Source organism: Homo sapiens, chromosome 3, assembly GCF_000001405.40.
Source record: "Homo sapiens chromosome 3, GRCh38.p14 Primary Assembly".
Classification (NCBI taxonomy): Eukaryota; Metazoa; Chordata; class Mammalia; order Primates; family Hominidae; genus Homo; species Homo sapiens.
The window spans coordinates 23,752,344-23,775,447 of NC_000003.12; the positions used below are offsets into that span (position 1 = coordinate 23,752,344).

At 44.5% G+C, this 23,104-nt stretch overlaps 6 annotated features.

Annotated features, from left to right (window-relative positions):
• Nucleotides 7,368-7,537: an enhancer, noted in NCBI's record as "experimental_68903 CRE fragment used in MPRA reporter constructs". NCBI's record gives its function as "activates a minimal promoter by MPRAs in K562 erythroleukemia cells, with activity observed for both the introgressed and non-introgressed 3:23801287 variant alleles {active_cell/tissue: K562}" and the evidence as "EXISTENCE:reporter gene assay evidence [ECO:0000049][PMID:34662402]".
• Nucleotides 8,050-8,686: an enhancer, noted in NCBI's record as "NANOG-H3K27ac-H3K4me1 hESC enhancer chr3:23801884-23802520 (GRCh37/hg19 assembly coordinates)". NCBI's record gives its function as "activates a minimal SCP1, AML or CMV promoter by ChIP-STARR-seq in naive and primed H9 embryonic stem cells {active_cell/tissue: H9 hESC(naive and primed)}" and the evidence as "EXISTENCE:reporter gene assay evidence [ECO:0000049][PMID:30033119]".
• Nucleotides 8,687-9,323: an enhancer, noted in NCBI's record as "NANOG-H3K27ac-H3K4me1 hESC enhancer chr3:23802521-23803157 (GRCh37/hg19 assembly coordinates)". NCBI's record gives its function as "activates a minimal SCP1, AML or CMV promoter by ChIP-STARR-seq in naive and primed H9 embryonic stem cells {active_cell/tissue: H9 hESC(naive and primed)}" and the evidence as "EXISTENCE:reporter gene assay evidence [ECO:0000049][PMID:30033119]".
• Nucleotides 8,908-8,957: an enhancer, noted in NCBI's record as "active region_19598". NCBI's record gives its function as "activates an Ori minimal core promoter by ATAC-STARR-seq in GM12878 lymphoblastoid cells {active_cell/tissue: GM12878}" and the evidence as "EXISTENCE:reporter gene assay evidence [ECO:0000049][PMID:35858748]".
• Nucleotides 9,058-9,177: an enhancer, noted in NCBI's record as "active region_19599". NCBI's record gives its function as "activates an Ori minimal core promoter by ATAC-STARR-seq in GM12878 lymphoblastoid cells {active_cell/tissue: GM12878}" and the evidence as "EXISTENCE:reporter gene assay evidence [ECO:0000049][PMID:35858748]".
• Nucleotides 10,923-10,972: a silencer, noted in NCBI's record as "silent region_14139". NCBI's record gives its function as "represses an Ori minimal core promoter by ATAC-STARR-seq in GM12878 lymphoblastoid cells {active_cell/tissue: GM12878}" and the evidence as "EXISTENCE:reporter gene assay evidence [ECO:0000049][PMID:35858748]".

The following is a 23,104-nucleotide window of genomic DNA, read 5'->3' on the forward strand; positions in this document are numbered from 1 at the left end:
CACAGCTGAGCTGGACCCAGAGGGACTGGAGCCACGCCCAGAACTGACCACAGACATACCGATCTTCAAAGGAGAGTGGGCCAGGAGTAACAGCATCAGGGACCACACCAACCAAAGACCAGGCCTACCTCCATTCCCTGCCTGGCATAAGCTCCACAGTTCTTTTTTTTTTTTTTTTTTTTTGAGACCAAGTCACGCTCTTGTTGCCCAGGCTGGAGTGCAGTGGCGCAGTCTCAGCTCACTGCAACCTTTGCTTCCTGGGTTCAAGCAACTCTCTGGCCTCAGCCTCCTGAGTAGCTGGGACTACAGGTGCCCACCACCACTCCTGGCTAATTTTTGTACTTTTAGCAGAGAGAGGGTTTCACCGTGTTGGCCAGGCTGGTCTCAAACTCCTGACCTCAGGTTATCTGCCCACCTCAGCTTCCAAAAGTGCTGGGATTATAGGCATGAGCCACCACAGCTCTTGTACAGCTTAAGCAGAGTGCGGTGAAGGGCATTACACTGCAATACAATGATTCCAGAAGGGGCCGTTTGTATCATAGTCTTTGGCATAACTTCTCCTGCAGTTGTGCAGTATACAACCTGAGTGCCATACATCTGGTGGCCCTGACTGGGCACACTGTGTGTGTGTGTGTGTGTGTTTGTGTGTGTGTGTTTAAAGCTTCTCAAATTGACTGATTTAAACTTCTCACCAACCCCGAGAATGGGGGTCTAGAACTTTAATTTTTAAAAATAAATTAATATATCTTACTCCTCAAGTGTGGTTTATTAATCGAATTGTCATAAAAACATATACTTCTCAAAGACAGAAAGCATGTTTTGTACTTCTGTACTCCTCCACAGTGTTTTGAAAAATAAATGTGTTAACTCTGAATGTAAATCTGAACACCGAATCTCTCTCCCTAGTAAAACTTAATTTTTTCCATTTTCCTGTTGTGACTGGTCCAAGTCAAAACTGGCTTGTGTCACCCACACTCAAATTAAAGCAAAGCCACTTTAATATTTTTATTATTATTATTATTATTATTATTATTTTTGAGATGGAGTCTCACTCTGTCGCCCAGGCTGGAGTGCAGTGGCACGATCTCGGCTGACTGCAGGCTCCGCCTCCCAGGTTCACACCATTCTCCTGCCTTAGCCTCCCGAGTAGCTGGGACCACAGGCGCCCACCACCACGCCTGGCTAATTTTTTTGTATTTTTAGTAGAGACAGGGTTTCACCGTGTTAGCCAGGATGGTCTCGATCTCCGGACCTTGTGATCTGCCGGCCTCAGCCTCCCAAAGTGGTGGGATTACAAGCGTGAGCCACTGCACCCAGCCTATTTATTTATTTATTTTTTTACTGTAGATTCTGATTCAATAATTCAGAGATGAGGCCTGAGATTCTGCATTTCTACTGAACTCCCAGGTGAGGCTCATTGACCCTCATTTTGTGCCAAGGACCACACCTTGAGGTGCAAGAGGCTAGAAAGCTGAGGTAGGTGCCTTTAGTTCTTTTTAAACAAGCCCAGCACCTGCTTTGCATTAAAGCTATAGTAACTGCTTGAATGAAAATAAATAAATAATTAATTAAATTGTGGTAAAATAAAACATAAAATTTACCACCTTAACTATTTTTAAGTGTACGGTGACATTAAGTATTTTCACATTGTTGTGCAACCGTCATCACCACCCATCCATAAAACTTTTTCCATCATGGCAGGGCATGGTGGTTCATGCCTCTAATCCCAGCACTTTGGGAGGCTGAGGCGGGTAGATCACCTGAGGCCAGGAGTTCGAGATCAGACTGGTCAACATGGTGAAACCCCGTCTCTGCTAAAAATACAAAAATTAGCCAGATGTGGTGGCACATGCCTGTAGTCCCAATTACTCAGGAGGCTGACGCAGGAGAATTGCTTGAGCCTGGGAGGTGGAGGCTGCAGTGAACTGAGATCTGCCGCTGCCACTCCAGCCTGGGCGACAGAGTAAGACCTTGTCTCAAAAAAAAAAAAAAACTGTTTCCATCTTGTGAAACTGAAATCCCATACCCATTAAACAATTACTCTCGTTCTCCTTTCCCTTCAGCCCCTGGCAACCACTATTCTACTTTCTGTCTCTATGAATTTGACTATTCTAGGTACCTCATATAAGCAGAATCATACAGTGTTTGTCCTTTTGTGACTGGCTTATTTCAGATGATAATGTCCTCAAGGTTCATTCATATTGTAGCAGAATCTGCTTTTTTTTTTTTTTTTTTTTTCTCCTGAGACAGGGTCTCATTCTGTCACTCAAGCTGGAATGGAGTGGCACCATCTTGGCTCACAGCAGGCTTGACCTTCCGGGCTCAAGCAATTCTCCCACCTCAGCCCCCTGGTCCCCCACTCCCCTCAACCCAGTAGCTGGGAGCACAGGTGCGAGCTACCATAACTGGCTAATTTTTTTGTATTTTTTGTAGAGGGTCTTTACCATGTGGCCCAGGCTGGTTTCAAGCCCCTGACCTCAAGCAATATGCCACCTCAGCCTTCCAAAGTTCTGGGATTACAGGCATGAGCCACGGCACCCAGCTAGAATCTGCATTTTAACAAAATCTTCGAATTGTGTGTATGCCCATTACAGCCTGAGATGCACAGCTCTACTAGATTACTGGGGCCAATACAGCGGAGATAAGAAAGTCCAATACGACAGTCCTGGAAGAAACTCAGGTTTCCTTACTCCTAGAGCCACCACTTGGGGACCATTTCCATGGTCATATTTGTGGAGCAATTTTGGTTTCCTGAGATCAACCTCTTGGGCTCCAATCTATCAAAAAATGAATGGCTAAACTGGCCTCTGAGCATCAAAAGTTTGAGGCCTACAGGAGTCCTGCTTGCAAAAGAATAACTTGTAAAGCACTCAGTACCACTGGCAAATAGGTATCTGTAACTGGACTATGTAGAGTTAGTAGCTCATTTAGGTTTCCACTAACTTAATAACACATACACTTACATGGTGCCAGCCATGATTCCAAGTAGTTATGGAATATTAGCACCTTTAACCCTCATAACAGTTCCAGAAGTAGGAACATTTTTAATCCCAGGTTTACAGATGTGGAAACTAAGGCACAGGCAGGTTAAGTAACTTGCACAGGGTGATGTGGCTGGTGAATGGTAGAGCTGGGATTTGAACCCAGGAGCTACACTGTGCCTCCTCTCTGGCAATTGCTTGACCAAGTCTTCTGTTGAAACTGAACTATAAGGAATTATGCAGATTGTGGGTGTGTTATGGGGAGGGAACCTACATTTAACCATAGACATTAGTTTATATGTAGGAAAAAACAACAGAAGCTAGAATGTCAGAAAGTAAGTGGGAAACCCTCATGACATGGTGGATTTTTTTCTCAGTAGAAAAAAATTTTTACTGCAGAAGAAAAATGTCTCAGCAGAAGAAAATTTGGGGTCCATGCCTACATTACTAAATACTTGGACTCAAATACTCGGACTGGTTTTCCTCCTCCCTTCCTAACGACACCTCCTCTGCCTCTTTCACAGGCTCTTTCCCCTTAGCCTTCTCCAAAGGCTTTCTTTCCTCCTTTTCTAATCTCAGTTGTTTTCTTGGCTTCCAAGCAAAAAAATCCCAAATCCATGTTGCTTGCTGTGATCTTTCTTCCTGGTTCAAAATCATAATTCATTGCTTCCTGATGTCAAAGCAAAAATGTCACAACAAGATCTCAAATTCTACATCTGGGAAGATGAACCACATTGGCTGATACCCTAGAGATGAGAGAGGAGCCCAATGTCACAGCCAGACTTTTCTTATATTCAGCACGCCCCAAACAGCACCTGCCACCTGCCCCTCCCAAGCTCACTGCCACAGGCCCCATCTCATTCCTGACCCCTGTCATCCTCTCTATGAAGCTCGAAGCCTTCATTATCTTTTCCTCCTCTCTTTCTCCATATCTGAAGGAGTCTCCCTCCTCAACTGGTCTCAAATCTGTCTTCTGCTTTACATGTTGTCATTGTCTAAACTCAAGCCCTTCCCACCTGCCTCCAGTCTCCCTGACCCTCATCTGCCTTCCCTCCTACACCCACCCCTACACACAGCTGACAGGCATTCTCCCAAACACAGATCAGCTCACACCACTCCTTGGCACGGCCTCTCAACTCCATCTCTGGACCTTGGGTGAATCTGCCAACTGCTCAGTGAAAATGACCTCCTTCTTTGCTCTTAAAAAAAAAAAAAAAAAACTGAAACTTACAGGAAAGTTGCAAGTACAGTACAAACATTGTTTTTGTTCCCAAACCATTTGAGAGTAAGTTGCAGACCTGACCTGATGCCCTGAAAATTCTAGTATACATTTCCTACAAACAAGGACATCCTTCTACATACACAATACAACCATTTTTAAAGTTAGGAAATTAACACTGATACATTACTACAAATCCTTGGGCCCCTTTCAAGTTTTGCCAGCAATCCCCACAATGTCATTTTTATAGCAAGTGGATTCAGTTCAAAATCCCGTGTTGCACCCAGCTGCCATGGCTTTTTGGGCTCCTTCAGTCTGGAACAGCTCCTTATTCTTTCTTTAATTTTTATGTCCTTGACTTTTTTTTTTTTTTTTTTTGAGACAGAGTCTCACTCTGTCGCCCAGGCTGGAGTGCAGTGGCACGATCTCAGCTCACTGCAATCTCCCACTTCCAGGAGTTCAAGCGATTCTGCCACCTCAGCTTCCCAAGTAGCTGGACTTACAGGCGTGTGCCACCACACCCAGCTAATTTTTGTAATTTTTTTTTTCTGAGACAGAGTTTCACTCTGTCGCCCAGGCTGGAGTGCAGTGGCACGATCTTGGCTCACTGCAACCTCCACCCTCTTGGTTCAAGCAATTCTCCTTCCTTAGCCTCCTGAGTAGCTGGGACTACAGGCACCTGCCACTGCACCCAGCTAACTTTTTGTATTTTTAGTAGAGATGGGGTTTCACCATCTTGGCCAGGCTGGTCTTGAACTCCTGACCTCGTGATCCACCTGCCTCAGCCGGCCACCCAAAGTGCTGGGATTACAGTAATTTTTTTTTTAGACAGAATCTTGCTCTGTCACCCAGGCTGGAGTGCAATGGTGTGATCTTGGCTCACTGCAACCTCCGCCTCCGGGTTCAAGCCATTCTCCTGCCTCAGACTCCCAAGTAGCTGGGATTACAGGCACCCGCCACCAGGCCTGGCTAATTTTTTTGTATTTTTAGTAGAGATGGGGTTTCGCCCTGTTGGCCAGGCTGGCCTCAAACTCCTGGCCTCAAGTTAACTACCCTCCTCGGCCTCCCAAAGTGCTGGGATTACAGGCGTGAGCCACTGCACCCAGCGTGTCTTCTGACATTTTTAAAGACTATAGGCCAAACATGTAGAATGCCCTCAATTTTGGTTTTCTCTTGTTTAGATTTAGACAGGAATATTGCAGAAGTGAAGCTGGATTCTTCTTATTGTGTGGGGTACAGTTTCCATTCATCCTATTCTGGGGGATGCTCACTTAGACCCCTTGATAAAGTGGTGTCTGTCAGACTCATTGCTACAAAGTGACTCTTTTCCCTTTCATAAGTATTTTGTGGAAATCCTTGAAACTATGTAAATATTTCATTCCCCATCAAACATTTAATTGAATTTTTATTTATATCAGAATGAGCTAGTGGTTTCTTTTTTTTTCTTTTCTTTTCTCTTTTTTTTTTCTTGAGACAGAGTCTTGCTCTGTTGCCCAGGCTGGAGTGCAGTGGCACCATCTCAGCTCACTGTAACTTCTGCCTCCTGGGTTCAAGCAATTCTCCTGCCTCAGCCTCCAGAGTAGCTGGGACTACAGGTGCGCAGCACCACACCCGGCTAATTTTTGTATTTTTAGTGGAGATGGGGTTTCACCATGTTGGCCAGGCTGGTCTCAAACTCCTGATCTCACGTGATCCTCCCGCCTCGGCCTCCCAAAGTCTGGGATTACAGGCTTGAGCCACTGCGCCCGGCCTATGGTTTCTTATTTTATTCATTGTGTTATATATAATCTGTTACTATCGTTACTTGTTTGCTCTGTCTGATATCTCAGCCATCCCACTGATGGAAAAGACTTTTAACCACATTTCTGTCCACAGAAATCTGTGTTTATTAAAAAAAAAATGTGCTGCATTCCTGTACAAGGGATGGTTGTTATCTGAGTATTTGTTACCCAAGTGCCTACAGTTATGACTTGCTTATGAAGCAAAAATTATTATAATATGAAACTATTTGCTAAGGGAATATGACACAGCCTATACACAAATAAAGTCTCTTCCTATTCCACAGCCGTTCTCACCCATCTCATTGACACCTCTGTGGTTTGTAGCACCTCCAAAATTATCATTCAAATTCAATGCAGATTGGTTCACAAAACGAACTTGCAAATCTTGCAAAGTCTCAGGGTTTCATGGAGTTCATGAAAGTAACATAGCAGGACTGCTCAAAGCCTTGAGACCAGATAACAGCTACCCAGGAGAAAATAGACCAGGGGGAGAAGACAATGTAAATGACAAGGGTTCAGAAAACTCCTTTAAAAATTGATAAGGCTGTCAAATACCTTTGTGGGGAAAAAAAATGACCTTCTTTATGAATGTGAAATAAAAGTCAAAAATGAAGTGAAGGATACCATTCAATTTTGTCAGAAAAAAAAGTTTAGATTCTTTGTTCTAATAATTAGCACATAGCCTAAACCATGATCTAAACTTTGTTAGAAGGTGAAGTTATTTTCAAAATTTTTTGTGTCCTCTTTTTTTAAATTAATTAATTTATTTATTTATTTTGAGACAGAGTCTCATTCTGTCACCCAGGCTGGAGTGCAGTGGCGCCATCTCGGCTCACAGCAACCTCTGCCTCCAGGGTTCAAGCGATTCTCCTGCCTCAGACTTCCTAGTAGCTGGGATTACAGGTGCCCGTCACCACGCCCGGCTAATTTTTTTGTATTTTTGGTTGAGACGGGGTTTCACCATGTTGGCTAGGCTGATCTTGAACTCCTGACCTCAGGTGATCCACCCACCTCGGCCTCCCAAAGTGCTGGGATTACAGTTGTGAGCCACCGCACCTGGCCAAGGTGTCCTTTTTTTCAAAATAAAATGCTAATCTATTTTTTTCCCCTCTATTTACTGTAAAGTTTCAGTCCCTTCAGTAAGTAGGTTTAATTTAAATGACTTTATCTTGGTGTCAGTATTCTGCAGGTCAGGACCCCTCCCTTGCATACAGTAGGAAACTTAAAGCTGCTGTGGCAAGAGGGTGGGCCTGTCCCCTTAGATGCTCCTTGCTCGTGTTAGCCATCTCCCAATCCTATGAGCCCCTCTCTCTCTCCTTCGCTTCCTCTGGCCCCATGCTTGCTTTTTACTTTCTGATCTCACTTTCCTCACTTATCAGAAGAGGAAAATATCCCAGTCCAACCAACTTCACAACAAGTCATTCTTATAGTCAAATGAGTTCATGGATAATAATAGTAGTCATGGCTGGGTGTGGTGGCTCACGCCTATAATCCCAGCACTTTGGGAGGCCGAGGTGGGCAGATCACCTGAGGTCAGGAGTTCAAGACCAGCCTGGCCAACATAGCAAAACCCTGTCCTTATTAAAAATACAAAAATTAGCTGGGCATGGTGGTGGGCGCCTGTAATCCCAGATACTAGGGAGGCTGAGGCAGGAGAATCGCTTGAACCCAGGAGGTGGAGGTTTTGGAGAGCTGAGATTGCGCCACTGCACTCCAGCCTGGGCAACAAGAGCAAAACTTTGTCTCAAAAAAAAAAAAAAAAAAAAAAAAGTAGTCACTAACATGTATTGAACCATCATTCTATGTCTGACCATGTGTTGAGAGCTTAACATAGACCACTGCAATTAACTCTCCCCAGACTTGTAAAGGTAAAGGCTGTTATTATCTTGCATTTTACAGAGAAGCAAACAGAGGCTCCAGGATGTTAAGTAATGTACTGAAGTTTTCTTAGTCTTTGGAGGAGTCAAGATTTACTTCAAGCATTTAACTACTAAACTATCCACGCTATAAAAGCGCTATGAGGACAGAATGGTATTCTATAAATATAGGCATCAGCATTATTATATTTCCCTGTGTATGCTCTGAACTCCCAAAGACACTGAATGATAAAGCAGAAATTATTAACAGGTCTTTTTTATGTGTATGACTGGTTGTTTGGACCCCAAAATATTCCACTAGTGGCACCCAGTGGCACCCATAGGCATTGATTAACCCCACTCAGAGTCTCTAGGCCTTGGAAGACCAATTTGACTGTGAGTGGTAAGATAGAAGCAGACTAACTCACCCCAAAGAACATTTTACATGGTCCCCAAGCCCTCCCCCAGCAGCTCTGGCAGAGATGAACCTAGTCACTCTGCCCTCACTATTGCAGGCCAAAGTGGCGGGGGCCAGGCACAATGACCTAAAAGGAAATTTGGTTCTGATAGACTAACAGAGGAGATAGGATATGTGTGGGGTTCTGTGCTTGGCGCTAGAATTTGTGGTTGGCAAATGCAAAGAGGCTGTTAAGTGCCCGCATATAAGATGATGAAGAATACTTCTTCCCTGTAAGTCTATTCTCAGCACTGGCAGGGGCCCCCTGCAGCAGGAAACGTTGGGTTTACAGGGCAGGGTCCCTTCCTCTGCTGCAGATGCCCCTGTTTAATGGCCCTCCCTCTGCTCAGGCTGAGAGGGCCTGACCCTCACGGGACAGAAGTCAGCCACTGCTGAGCTTTGCATTTTCAGGTCTTTCAAATGCATTGTGTTTGTCCCCAGCCAGCTTCTGCAGGGGCCCAGGTTGGTGAGTGGGTGCTAATTTGCCTAACAGGCAAAAGGGGGTTTGTGTATCACCAATGTCTTTTGGGAGGGAAATTACAACCTGCTGAAGGGGGAGCTGGAGGTGATCAAATGTGACTAAATGCGGTAAAACCAGCAACTTCACAACTTCTTGTTGTGAATGCGGTAAAACCACCAACTAAATGCGGTAAAACCGACTAAATGCGGTAAAACCACCAACTTCACCAACTTCTTCTGAGGAGACCAGCTGGGGGAAGGGGGCTGGAGGTAGAATTATACTTGTTGGCACAAACAGTGGGAAACTGGGAGAAAAGAAAGACCCCCAAACCACAGGCCTCCTTCTAATCTGGACCTTGAGTAGGAAGGAAGGATTTTGGGAAGGGTCCCCTTATCCTACAAATGAGGAAGCTGATATCTAAAAAAGCCTCAGGACTACAGCAAGTATGCCCTCATAGTAAACACAGAGCTGCAATCAATCCCAGGCCTCCTGGGCCCCAGGTCTGGACTTTTCCATCCCAGTGCTCCCTCTATGGGTTAACATCACACACCCAAGTTTGAGCAAACATTTAGTTGTAAAATGGCTGATGTGCACGTTCTAATGAATAAGCCACAGTTTAAGCACGTCAGGCAAGAAAACTTGGGGTAAGGCATCTATTTTAGAATGGTTGGGGGTGGATGTGGAGGACATATGTTGGTTTTCCTGCCCACCAGTGCCACCACTTACAGTGTTCAGGTGTCTGTCACACAGCACAATGTTGTCCTGCCAAGGAGTCAATTGAGTCAATATCCACCTTTAGTTCTGCTCACTCAACTATCTGTCCTAGGTGTGGGTTTTCTTCTGCCCAGAGGAAGGCAGGTCAAAGGTGCCATCTGCTCCCCAAGAAGTGGGGGCATAGGTCTGCATCAGCCTGGAGGGGGTGCCTGTTTCCAACTCACAAGGGTCCCACATAGGCTAGCTATGGCATCTTGCATCCATCCCTTCTTCTTTTGAAGCTGAAACACAATTTTCTTTCGTGGAGTCAGGCCCTACCCAATCTCAGTCCTGTGGTTTGATGGAGCAGACCCCACTCTCATCTTCAGGAATGGACCACTGACCCAAGCCTGTAGCCATTTTAAGGATGGGCACCTGACTTAGTGAGAATAACTACAGAATTATTGCTGGAACTGTTGATACCAAGCCAATCCTTTTCTTGGAGTTGCTAATCTCGGGAGAGGTGGAGGGAGCAGAAAAGAAGATAGCATTGCAAGAAGCCTCGGAATCAGTTGAGTCTGACCAGATTCGTCTTCTTATGGTTAGTTATACGAACCAATTCTCTGTTTTACTCAGGCTGGGTTAGGTTGACTCTCCCTGGCAACCAAGAGAATTCTCACCAATACAATGAGAAAGCGGAAGTTTCACCTTAAATGAAAGCTCCTCTAGCATCCTCTAGCAGATTTGTCAAGAGATCGTTCCAAATCTGAACCCATCCTAAAAAGGCATCCCTGTCCCCCCGGGCTTGTTGGAAAGACAGGATTGTGAAGGGCCTGTCCCACAGGCATGTAAATTACGTTGAGGTTTATTTGCCTACACTTGCAATATCTATTCTTTCACTTCTGGTGGTTCTAGAAGATGCTGGAGCACTTATCCCTCAGGTCACTAACAACACTGTCAAGAAAAGACCCACATTTTAAATTCCATTTAGTCCATTTCTGCAGAGCTGGGTAACCAAATGAGACAGCCATGGAAAATATATGACTTCCATTATTATGACGTGGAAAACAGAGCTGTCTAATTGCTTTTGTCCACTGGTGTATAAAGATTGAGACCAGATGTGTTTAAAAAAAAAAAAAGGAAAAGAAAGAAAGAAAAAAAAGGGCTTGAGTTGGCCGTTGCTTTGAACAAAGCAGTCTGATTTCCTCTCTTTCTCTCTCTCTCTCTCTCTGGGAAAGACGACATGAAAGTGTTTTAACTGCTTGTAATTTTTCATAGCCTCGTTGATTTTGCTTTTCACAGAAGATGAAATTGTGAAATTGGCCTTGAAAACTTTATTTTCGCTTTCCTCAATTCAAAGGGACAATTGTGGAAGGAAAGAACTGAGCTGCTTGCCAGACCCAGCGCACTCCTTTTTCTCTGGACAGCTGCTGCTTTGCAGAGGGTCGTGGGAGGAGGTGAGTCCTAACGCAGATCAGACCCTCCTTCCCTCAGCCAGCCGCTGGGGAGTAGAGTCTTCGCATGTAAATCCACAGGAATGGATGAGATGATGATCGGCTTTAAATAGAACCACCCAGGGCCCAGCTTCTGTGTTTCATTTTCCAGAAGAGCCCCTAAATCTGCTTCAACATTTTTTTAACCTCTCCAGTTATTTTTAGCACACGCAGCCAACAGAGCTCAGCAGGCCCGTGGAGGCGCTAACATGTCCCCCAGTTCATCTCCTTCTGCAAAGGTGCATTTGAAGCATGAAAAATAAAAAATAAAAAATACGTGCGGACCCAAAGAGGTGATGATTTAGAAGCCAGGTTACATGGCCCTGCTGCTCTGTATCAAGCGAGTGCTGCCCACTGGAAATACAATTCTTTTAAAGATTATATCATTATTTTCAAAATTAATTTTTGAGGCCGGGCGCGGTGGCTCACGCCTGTAATCCCAGCACTTTGGGGGACCGAGGCGGGCGGATCACGAGGTCAGGAGATGGAGACCATCCTGGCTAACACGGTGAAACCCCGTCTCTACTAAAAACACAAAAATTAGCCGGGCATGGTGGCAGGCGCCTGTAGTCCCAGCTACTGGGGAGGCTGAGGCAGGAGATTGGCATGAACCCGGGAGGCGGAGCTTGCAGTGAGCCGAGATCGCGCACTGCACTCCAGCCTGGGCGACAGAGCGAGACTCCATCAAAATAATAATAATAATAATAATAATTATTATTATTATTATTATTATTATTGTCTGAAGACTAATAAGAGTATGCATGGTAGATTGGGAAAAGAGGAGGCTCCCACAGCAGCAATTTCCTGAGGGTCGCAGTAACCATGGATCACGGTGTTGAGCCAAACCTGGGAAATGGGAAGGAACGGAAGCAGGATTCCTCCAGAAAACCTCATAGGGCTTCTGCAGCCCCGCTCCCAGTGGCCAGCAGAGTCACTTTCTCATTTACTGGAGAAGTTGGTAATTTACTGCTCCCTATGCAGGGGTTTCCCTCCCATTCCAGGGTCTGAAGCTATGTAGTTGCATCTCAGAATATTTACAGGGATCTCATAGTTCCACAGGGGTCTTTGCTATTCTCTGCTAGAGCCCCCCATAGTTCATCTCTAATTGGGGCAAAATAAATACTTTTAATTAATTTCCCTCACATTTTTATAGGCAACAAATCCTCAGTGATACCATAGAGAAGAAAAGATTGTGCAAAAGAATGTAAGATGCTAAATGCTTCTGCTGGAATGGGTAAGTTTCCCCAGCACTTACTCCACACATCCATTTCCCTGTACTTATGTGTATTATCATTCCAAATCAGGGCTCCACAAAATCCAGGCCTCCCTTTTCTCCCAGTGCCCTTGGCTTTCAATTAATTCTGACATGATTTCCATAGGGAGTGATTAATGTGTAGCATGAATGGGAACAGCCATTACAGAGCAATTGCAGTGGAGAAGACTGGGCTCATTGGTGCTGTACTTAGGAGCCAGGTGACCTTGGGCAAGTAATTTAGCCTCTATTAGCCCCGACTTCCTCCTCCATGGAATGGACTCCTTTGCAGCATTGTTATAAGGATTAAAGGAGAAGGCCAGGCGCAGTGGCTTACGCCAGTAATCCCAGCACTTCGGGAGGCCAAGGCGGGCGATCACCTGAGGTCAGGAGTTCCAGACCAGCCTAACCAACGTGGCAAAACCCCATCTCTACTTAAAAAAAAAAAAAGCAAGACAATTAGCCAGGCATGGTGGTGCCAGCCTGTAATCCCAGCTACTCGGGAGGCCGAGGCAGGAGAAACATTTGAACTCAGGAGGTAGAGGTTGCAGTGAGCTGAGATCATCCCACCGCACTCCAGCCTAGGCGAAAGAGCAAGACTCCATCTAGAAAAAAAAAAATTAAACGAGAAAATGAAAGTGGTGCTCAACGAATAGGACTGCTACTATGATTAAATCATTGCCAGAGCCTCCTTAGAACATGACCCCAGGATTCATGCTGTATGTCCCCTTAAAAGTGTGACTACCTTACAGGGAGTTTGGCACTTTGATAAATGGAACACAGGCTCGGGTACAATGTGAAACCCAGGATTCCATTGCATTCTCCTCCAAGGGCCTGTGCAAGAGAGGTCTGCTCAAATATGCTCCTTCTAAGGGAGGCTGTTGCTCCACCAGCTCGCTAGAGACACTGAACGAACAGGGCTTGGAGGACAGGTTTTGAATCTTGTGGCGCTACCCACCCTTCCCACCTTTCCAAGACACCAACATATCAGATCAGGGAGAGACGCCTAACCTAATACCAGCACTTTCTCAGGCAGGCCAGCAACCTTTGAATACTTGGGAATTTGAATTGTGAAACCTGGAAAGACGTCCCCATAACAGTGGGGTCCAAAGCTGAGGGTCATGAAGTTGGGAGTAAAGAGAAATCCTGGGAAGCAAGAACAGCTAGAGGAAGAATGATAGAGCAGGCCTGTTCTCCAGTTCTCCCTTCTGTCTACCTATCTTTTTAGCACAAATCGCCTTTCTCCCGGGGCAGAGGAAATAAGGAGCGCTCCATGCCTCATGGAGTGAGCTGAATTATGGCCCCAAAAAGACATGTCCACATCTTAACCCCTGAAACCTGTCAATGTGACCTTATTTGGAAAAAGCATTTTTACAAATGTAATTAAGTTAAGGCTCTTGAAATGAGATCATCTTGGATTATCTGGGTGGGCCCTAAATCCAATCGCAAGTGTTCTCAGAGAGACAGAAAAGGAGAAAACATGGAGAGACACAGGAAAGAAGGCAGATGAAAGATGAACACTGCGTTTGGCATAAAGCAGAGAATCAGTAAAGCTTTAGCTTTCTTTTTCTTCTTCTTTCTTCTATTTTTTGAAACAGAGTCTTGCTGTGTCACCCAGGCTAGTGTTCAGTGGCGCAATCTTGGCTCACTGCAAGCTCCACCTCCCGGGTTCACGCCATTCTCCTGCCTCAGCCTCCCAAGTAGCTGGGACTACAGGTGCCCGCCACCATGCCAGGCTAATTTTTTGTACTTTTTAGTAGAGACGGGGTTTTACCGTGTTAGCCAGGATGGTCTCAATCTCCTGACCTCGTGATCTGCCCGCCTCGGCCTCCCAAAGTGCTGGGATTACAGGTGTGAGCCACTGCGCCTGGCCCTTTTTCTTCTTCTTTTTGAGACAGTCTCACTCTGTTGCTCAGGCTAGAGCGCAGTAGCACAATCACTGCTCACTGCAGCCTCTATCTCCAGGCTCAAGCAATCCTCCTACCTCAGCCTCCCAAGTAGCTGGGACTACAGGTGTGCAGCACCACTCCTGGCTAATTTTTTTTTTTTTTTTTTTTTAAGTAGAGAGGGGATCTCATCATGTTGCCCAGGCTGGTCTCGAACTCCTGGGCTGAAGCTATTCTCCTGCCTTGGCCCCTCAAAGTGCTGAAATTGTAGGCATCCCACAGGCCAAAGCTTTGTCTGAGATGAGAGAAAGCCTGATCCTGAGCCTGGCAGTCCTCCAGAAACAGTGCATCTCAGAGATCCTTGAACTAACATCCAGTCATGCAAAACGATATCTTATAGTCTCTCGTCTCTCCAGGAGGTAGATTTCCCCCTTTGTCCTTTGTCTTCCTTTCTTTTTCTTTCTTTTTTTTTTTCCGAGATGGAGTCTTGCTCTGTTGCCCAGGCTGGAGTACAATGGCGCTATCTCGGCTCACTGCAACCTCTGCCTCCTCAGTTCAAGTGATTCTTCTGTCTCAGCCTCTCGAGTAGCTGGGATTACAGGCACGCGCCACCAGGCCCAGCTAATTTTTGTACTTTTTTTTTTTTAGTAGAGATGGGGTTTCACCATGGTGGCCCGGCTGGTCTCAAACTCCTGACCTCAGGTGATCTGCCTGCCTTGGCCTCCCAAAGTGCTGGGATTACAGGCGTGAGCCATCTTGCCCGGCCTCCCCATTTGTCTTTATTTTACTTTATTTATTTTTTAAGAGATTTTCTTCATCTGTTGCCCAGACTGGAGTGCAGTGGTGCAATCATAGCTCACTGCAGCCTCGAACTCCTGAGTTCAAGGGATCCTCCTGCCTCAGCGTCCCAAGTCACTGGGATTACAGGCATGTGCCACCACACCAGGATCCCCTTTTCCTTTAAAGCTACGCATTTGAAGTATTGCTTAACAAACTTTTCTGATCAGGAGACTCATCTGGAGAATTCACATTCCAGGGCCTCACCATAGAGTCATTGAATTAATCTCCACTAAGGGAAGCAAGAGAACTGGAATTATTTAATAAGTAGTCCCAGATGGTTGTTATAGTTAGAAAAGTTTAGGTATCTCTGCATTAAAGCAGCATTACCCAAATTTTAATAGGCCTGCCAATCACCTGGGGATCTTGTTGAAATGCAGATTCTGGTTCAGACTTCTAGGCTGGCCTGAGAGTCTGCATTTCTCACAAGTTCCCAGGGAGTACCAAGTGGCTGGTTGGGGGACCACATTCTCAGGAGGAAGAGGAACTAACAATGGTGTGAACCGAATGTAGAGGCCTTAGTTATAATCCTCATTCATTGTCTATCAGTGCTTTATGACTTTGCAGAACTTTCACACTCGTATCCTCTTTTAACCATCAAAACTAGCAATCAGGCAGACTTCTGTAAGGAAAATTGCAGTTTCCCATGGATGCCCATTTATAAAAGGGAGACCATGCTCACTCATGCATGTAGTCAACAAATGGATTGTGCACCCATAGAGCTGCTAATGATGCCCCCAAAGGGGAAGAGAAAGGCTGGGCACATGGGTTCTCTCCACCTGCCCAGGGCTGGGTTTCTTATTATGGAAGTGCTTTAATAGCACTTTTAAACTGTGTCATCCTTTACAAAAATTTTCACTCTGGAAACTTCCATTAAGCTGCCTATGCCAGTCATTCTAACCATCTGAGTTCACACGCAGGTCTGGCCTGTTGGATGAAGCTCACTCATCACTTCCCTACTTTTGTGCACTTAGGTGTCCTTCTGCCTGAGTATGCACATACTAATTTTTTTTTTTTTTACTTTGAAATAATTTTAGACTTTGAGGAGAGTTGTAAGAACAGTACAAACCATAAAATGATGCAGCCACTTTAGAAAACAATTTGGTAGTTTCTTTAAAAGTTAAATATACATTCACCATATGATACAGCAATTTCACTCCTAGCTATATACCAAAAGAATTAAAAACAGGTGCTCAAACAAATTCTTGTATGTGAATGTTCATAGTAGCACTGTTCATAATAGCCAAAAAGCAGAAACAACCCAAGTGCCCATCAACGGATGAATGAAAAAACAAAATAGGTACATTTGTACAATGAAATATTATTCAACTATAAAAAGGAATGAAGTATTGATGCATGCTACAGTGAGGATGGAACTCAAAAACATGTTAAGTAAAAAAAGCCAGACACAAAAGGCCCCATATTGCATGATTCCATTTATATGAAATACCCAGAATAGGTACATCCATAGAGATAGAAGATAGCTTGGCGGTTGCTAGGGACTCATGGGAAGGGGAAATGGGACATGACTGTTTAATAGGTCTGAGGTTTCCTTCTGGAGTTCGTAGAGGTGGTAGTTGCACCACATTGTGAATGTTTTTTGTTTTTTGTGTTTTTTTTGAGACGCATTCTCACTCTGTCACACAGATCGTGCAGTGGCGCGATCTTGGCTCATTGCAAGCTCTGCCTCCTGGGTTCATGCCATTCTCCTGCCTCAGCCTCCTGTGTAGCTGGGACTATAGGTGCCTGCCACCACGCCTAGGTTTTTGTATTTTTAGTAGAGACAGGGTTTCACCCTGTTAGCCAGGATGCTCTTGATCTCCTGACCTCGGGATCTGCCCGTCTCAGCCTCCCAAAGTGCTGGGATTACAGGCGTGAGCCACCACGCCCAGCCATGAATGTATTAAAGGTCACTGAATTGTACACTTTAAAATGGTGAATCTGACCAGGCATGGTGGCTCAAGCCTATAACCCAATACTTTGGGAGGCTAAGGTGGGAGGATTGCTTGGGGCCAGGAGTTTGAGTTCAGCCTAGGCAACACAGCAATACTCCCTCTCTATATAAAATAAAAATTTAAAAATTAGCCAGGTGTGGTGGCACGCACCTGTAGTCCCAGTTACTTAGGAGACTGAGATAGAAGGATCACTTGAGCCCAGGAGTTTGAAGTTCACATTCATATTCTCTTTCAACCATCAAAACTATTGTATGACATAGATATTATCCCCTTTTTACATACAAGGGTCCCAGTAAACCATGATCATGCCACTGTACTCTAGCCTGGGTGGCAGAGCAAGACTTTGTCTCTAAAAAATAAAATAAAATAATTAATTTTATCTTATGTGAATTTCACCTCAATTTCTTAAAACTGCACGTAGGGCCGGGTACAGTGGCTCATGCCTGTAATCCCCGCATTTTGGGAGGCTGAAGCGGGCGAATCACAAGGTCAGGAGTTCAAGACCAGCCTGGTCAACATAGTGAAAACTGTCTCTACTAAAAATACAAAAATTAGCAGGGCGTGGTGGCAGGCACCTGTAATCCCAGCTACTGGGGAGGCTGAGACAGGAGAATCGCTTGAACCCGGGAGGTGGAGGTTGCAGTGAGCCAATATCACTGCACTCTAGCTTGGGTGACAGAGCGAGACTCTGTCTCAAAAAGTAAAACTGCACTTAGACTTGTGGTAGTCTATGTTTGTTGAACCATTTATACCAACCAAATATTTCAGCATGTATACCCTAAAAACAAATACATTATCTCATATGGTTCTGGGAAAATGATCAAATTCAGAAAGTTGAACATTCATGCAATACTATGATTTAAGCTACAGTCCACATTCAAATTTTGCCAGTTTCTCAATGATGTTATTTAAAGCAATTTTCTGGCCAATTTAGAATCCAAGATCATAAAATACATTTAGGTGCCAAGCCTCTTCTTTAATCTGGAAGCACCTCTCAGTGTTTAAATGTTTTTTATTGATTTATTTTTTGTTCTTTCCTGACATTGCCATTTTTGAAGGGTACAGGCCTGTTGCTTTGCAAACTGTCTCTTCTTTTGGGTCTGTCTACTGTTTCCTCATGAGTAGAGTCAGGTTATGCATCTTTTGTAGGAATACCCCGGAATTGACACTGTCCTTCTTCATGCGTCACATCAATCTGTCCCATTAATGATTATGTCCACTTTAATCACTTGGATTAGGTGGTGTCTGCCAGGTTTCTCCACTGCAAAACTTTTTTTCCTCTTTGTACTTAACAATAGTGTATGCTGGCTAAAAAGGAGAAACCCCGTCTCTACTAAAAATACCAAAAAAAATTAGCCGATCGTGGTGGCGGGCGCCTGTAGTCCCAGCTACTCGGGAGGCTGAGGCAGGAGAATGGCGTAAGCTTGGGAGGCGGAGCTTGCAGTGAGCCGAGATTGCGCCACCGCACTCCAGCCTGGGCGACAGAGTGAGACTCCGTCTCAAAAAAAATAAATAAATAAAAATTAGAAAAAAAATAGTGTATGCTATTTCTAAGGTCTAACAAAACTAATTCATAAAATCATTTTTTTTGGTGCCAGCTGCTATTTTTATCACTCAGCCATTCATTCAATCTCTACCTAGTCCAGGGTGGACATAAAGCTATAGTGCATAGAATAGTCCTTGCCTTCAAAGAACTCATTGCTCTGTCAGGGAGCCAGGTTCTAAAGCCCCCAAACTCTGGAGTATCAAGTCTGTTCTTTATATTAGCTATGTTTTAAAGTCAATTCTGGCCAGGCGAGGGGACTCACACCTCTAATCCTGGCACTTTGGAAGGCCGAGGCGGGAGGATCACCTGAGGTCAGGAGCTCAAGATCAGCCTGGTCAACATGACAAAACCCCGTCTCTGCCAAAAATACAAAAATTAGCCGGCTGTGGTGGTGGGTGGCTGTAATCCCAGCTACTCGGGAGGCTGAGACAGGGGAGTTGCTCAAACCTGGGAGGCAGAGGTTGCAGTGAGCCAAGATTGCGCCACTGCACTCCAGCCTGGGTGACAGAGTGAGACTCCTTCTCAAATAAATAAATAAATTCTGTAAGCTGAATGCAAAAGAGAGCTGTATGAGAACCAAAGACAGAGCATAATCATGTTGGCCGTGAAAACCAAGCAGTTGTTAAACTCTCATAAACACTAGAGCTAATGAGTGTAGAATATTCCACTGGATTGAGCAAAGAGCTGAAATAATAACACATAGGCTCATGCACAGACTTTTGTTGTAAAACCTATTTCAATATTTTGTGCCTTTGGCATAATAATTGCTTTTTTTATAGTTTAATATTTTTAATAGACTGATTCTTGAATTGTTGGAATAAAACTTGAATTAAAAGGGATACTGAGAGAGTAATGATAAATAAGTACCCAACCTGGAGGCACAGTTAAGCTGCTGTTATGTGACTGCCAATGGACTTGTTTTCACTTATTCACTTTCCCTTGTGTGATTAATCTTTATTGTCCCCAGTGTGAATTGTCAAAAGGAGGGGGGGAAGCATACTGACAAAAATACATTTCTTGTGCAACTCCTAAGTATTTATCATACTGTGTTGCTTTATTAATTTTGAGTGCTGGGAAAATGGTAAAAATACAATGTAGAATTAAAGAATAACATATATATGTGTAAAATCTCAGATATTTGAAAAGATTATAGCCTCAGTTTCTAACAATTTTGCAGCAGTTTCTAATAAATGCACTGCACCATCATCGTTTCAGTGCCTTATCTAGAAGAGAACTGCATCCTCACCACCACATACCTGATGAAGACACAAGAGCAGGCAGCCCAGAGGAGGGTGGTCAGTGGGTATTTTAAGCCATTGCTTTTTTTTTTTGAGATGGAGTCTTGCTCTGTCGTCCAGGCTGGAGTGCAGTGGCGCAATCTTGGTTCACTGCAACCCCTGCCTCCCGGGTTCAAGCGATTCTCCTGCCTCAGCCTCCGGAGTAGCTGGTACTACAGGCACACGCCACCACACCCGGCTAATTTTTTGTATTTTTAGTAGAGACGGGGTTTCACCAGGTTGGCCAGTCTGTTCTTGAACTCCTGGCCTCAAGTGATCCACCTGCCTCGGCCTCCCAAAGTGCTGAGATTACAGGTGTGAGCAGCTGCGACCAGCCAAGTCATTGCTTTTTTTTTTTGAGATGGAGTTTCGCTCTTGTTGCCCAGGCTGGAGTGCAGTGGTACGATCTCAGCTCACTGCAATCTCCACCTTCCGGTTTCAAGCGATTCTCCTGCCTCAGCCTCCTGAGTAGCTGGGATTACAGGCACCCACCCCCATGGACAGCTAATTTTCATAGTTTTAGTAGAGACAGGGTTTCACTGTGTTGGCCAGGCTGGTCTCAAACCCCTGACCTTGTGATCCACCCACCTCAGCCTCCCAAAGTGCTGGGATTACAAGTGTGAGCCACCAAGCCCAGCCGTCATTGCTTTTTAAACTGAAAAAAAAAAAAAAATGCTTCTTCTTTGCTCTCAACCTGCTTTCTCAGGCCTGGTTACATTTTTTTTTTTTTTTTAGATAAAATAAAAAATTTTAATACTTCATTAAAAAAAATAAGCCTTTGGCACTCCTACGGCCTGGTTACATTTCTAGATCTGTTAGTTGTGATGTTGTTTTTTTAAAAATAGTAATTATTGAGCTAGGCATGGTGGCTCGTGCCTATAATCCCAGCTACTCAGGAGGCTGAGGTGAGGGGATTGCTGGAGGCTAGGTGTTTGGGGCTGCAGTGAGCTATGATTGTTCCATGATTGTTCCACTGTATTCCAGTTTGGGTGACACAGCGAGATCTTGTCTGTCTCCAGAAAAAAAGTCATCATTTTGTTTTGCTTAAGTAATGCATGTTTATCATAGAAAATGTAGACTGTAGCACATTAAAAGAAAAAAATTACTCATAAATCCCATCCAGAAACAATTATATATAAATAACTCTATATACAAAATTTTAAGGCATGTTGAGTTCCAGTTCCCTTTCATATGATAAAATATATGCAGATGGTCCCTGACTTATAATGATTCCACTTTTTTTTTTTTTTTTGAGACAGGGTCTCACTCTGTCCCCCAGGCTGGAATACAATGACATGATCATGGTTCACTGTAGCCTTGACTGCCTGGGCTCAAGCAATCCTCCAACCTCAGCATCCTGTGTAGCTGGGACTGCAGACACATATCACCATGCTTACCTATTTTTATTTTTTGTAGAGACAGGATCTCACTATGTTGCCCAGACCAGTCTCAAACTCCTGGGCTCAAGTATTCCTTCTGCCTCAGCCTCCCCAAGTGCTGAGATTATAGGTGTGAGCCACCAGGCACGGTCCACTTACTGGATTTTTTGACTTCAGGATGGTGTGAAAACAATAAGCATTCAGTAGAAACTTCAAATACCCATACAACCATTCTGTTTTTCACTTTCAATACACTATGCAATAAATTACATGGGGGCTGGGTGCGGCGGCTTATGCCTGTAATCCCAACACTTTGGGATGCCAAGGCGGGGGGATCACCTGAAGTCAGGAGTTTGAGACCAGCTTGGCCAATATGGTGAAACCCCGTCTCTACTAAAAATACAAAAATTAGCTGGGTGTGGTGGCATGTGTCTGTAATCCCAGCTACTCGAGAGGCTAAGTAAAGTAGGAGAATCGCTTGAACCCGGGAGGCGGAGGTTGCAGTGAGCCAAGATCACACCACTACACTTCAGCCTAGGAGACAGAGCAAGACTCCATCTCAAAATTAAAAAAAAAAAATTCCATGAAATATTCAACACTACTATAAAATAGGTTTTGGCCAGGCATGGTGGCTTATGCCTGTAATCCCAGCATTTTGTGCGGGCTGAAGAGGTAGGATTGCTTGAGCTGAGGAGTTCAAGACCAGGCTGGGCAACATAGGGAGACCCTATCTCTACAAAAATTAGCCAGGCATGGTAGCACACGTCTGTAGTTCTAGCTACTTCGAGAGGCTAAAGCAGAAGGATCGCTTGAGCACAGAAATTTGAGGCTGCAGTGAACTATGATTATACCACTTCACTCCAGCCTGGGTGACAGAGCAAGACTCTGTTTCTAAAAATAAATAAATAAGTAAATAATAACATAAAATAGGCTTTGTGTGAGATGATTTTGCCTAACAGTAGGCTAATGTAAGTGTTCTGAGCACATTTAAAGCAGGGTAGGCTAAGCTATGATGTTCAGTAAGTTAGGTGTATTAAACGCATTTTGACTTGCATTTTTGGCTTACATTTTTAATTTGCAATGGATTTGTCAGAATGTAACTCCATGATAAGTCAAGGAGAATCTGTATACAGTATAATACACACGTGTGTGTGCACACTCACATGACATTTAAGCCAAGTCTTTGTAAACTCTACTGTGAAGAAACTGCGAATCCCTACGGCAAATGTAAAGTCACCTCCATCCCTCCCCTGGCCAAACCTCTTTGCAGGTTATTTGAGACACAACTACTGGTGCGCTCTCTTGTTTGCAAGCAAAGACAGCTTTTTCTACTCTTTGATTTCCCAGTGTACAAATGAGGGGCTGGTCCCCCTGGGCCCTAAGCAGCACCCTCTCACAACTCAACTACTGGGCGGGTAGAAGTGTGCCAAGGCAGAAGACATATCTTGCCAGTTGCTACCCTGCATCTTTGACTTGCTGCATCTCAACTTAAAAGGTGACAGTGATATCTTCAACGTCCTCTGGACAAATGAAAACAAGCCACAAGCCTCTTTCTTTGGACCTATATGTTTGTGCTGTAGGCAAAAAGTCAGGAACTCCCAAGAAAATAAAAGAAATGGCAAAACTGCAAACAAAATCCTAGGGCAAAAACTGCTGAGTGGTTCCAGTAATAATAACCAGTATTTAACAAGTGCTGCTACAAGCTGCTCCTTATGCTGAGGACTTAGCAGGCCTTTATATATATATATATATATATCATCCTTCCTATGAGATAAAAACTATGATGACCTTACTTTTCAAAACAGTACATGAAGCTTCGAGAGTATAGCAGATGCTGCCATTGTTCTGCCCACATCCCTTTACCATTTTGGTGCACCCCAGGCCGGCTCCCAATGGCCATCCCCTGCGTCTCTGTGAGAGCTGCCTTTGCGCTTTGTCCATGAACATGACAGGCCAGAAGTGTCTGGGTCTTCACTGCCCCCTCAGGAAGCCCTTAACATGTGTCTGCCAGGTGTGGGGGTATATATATCCC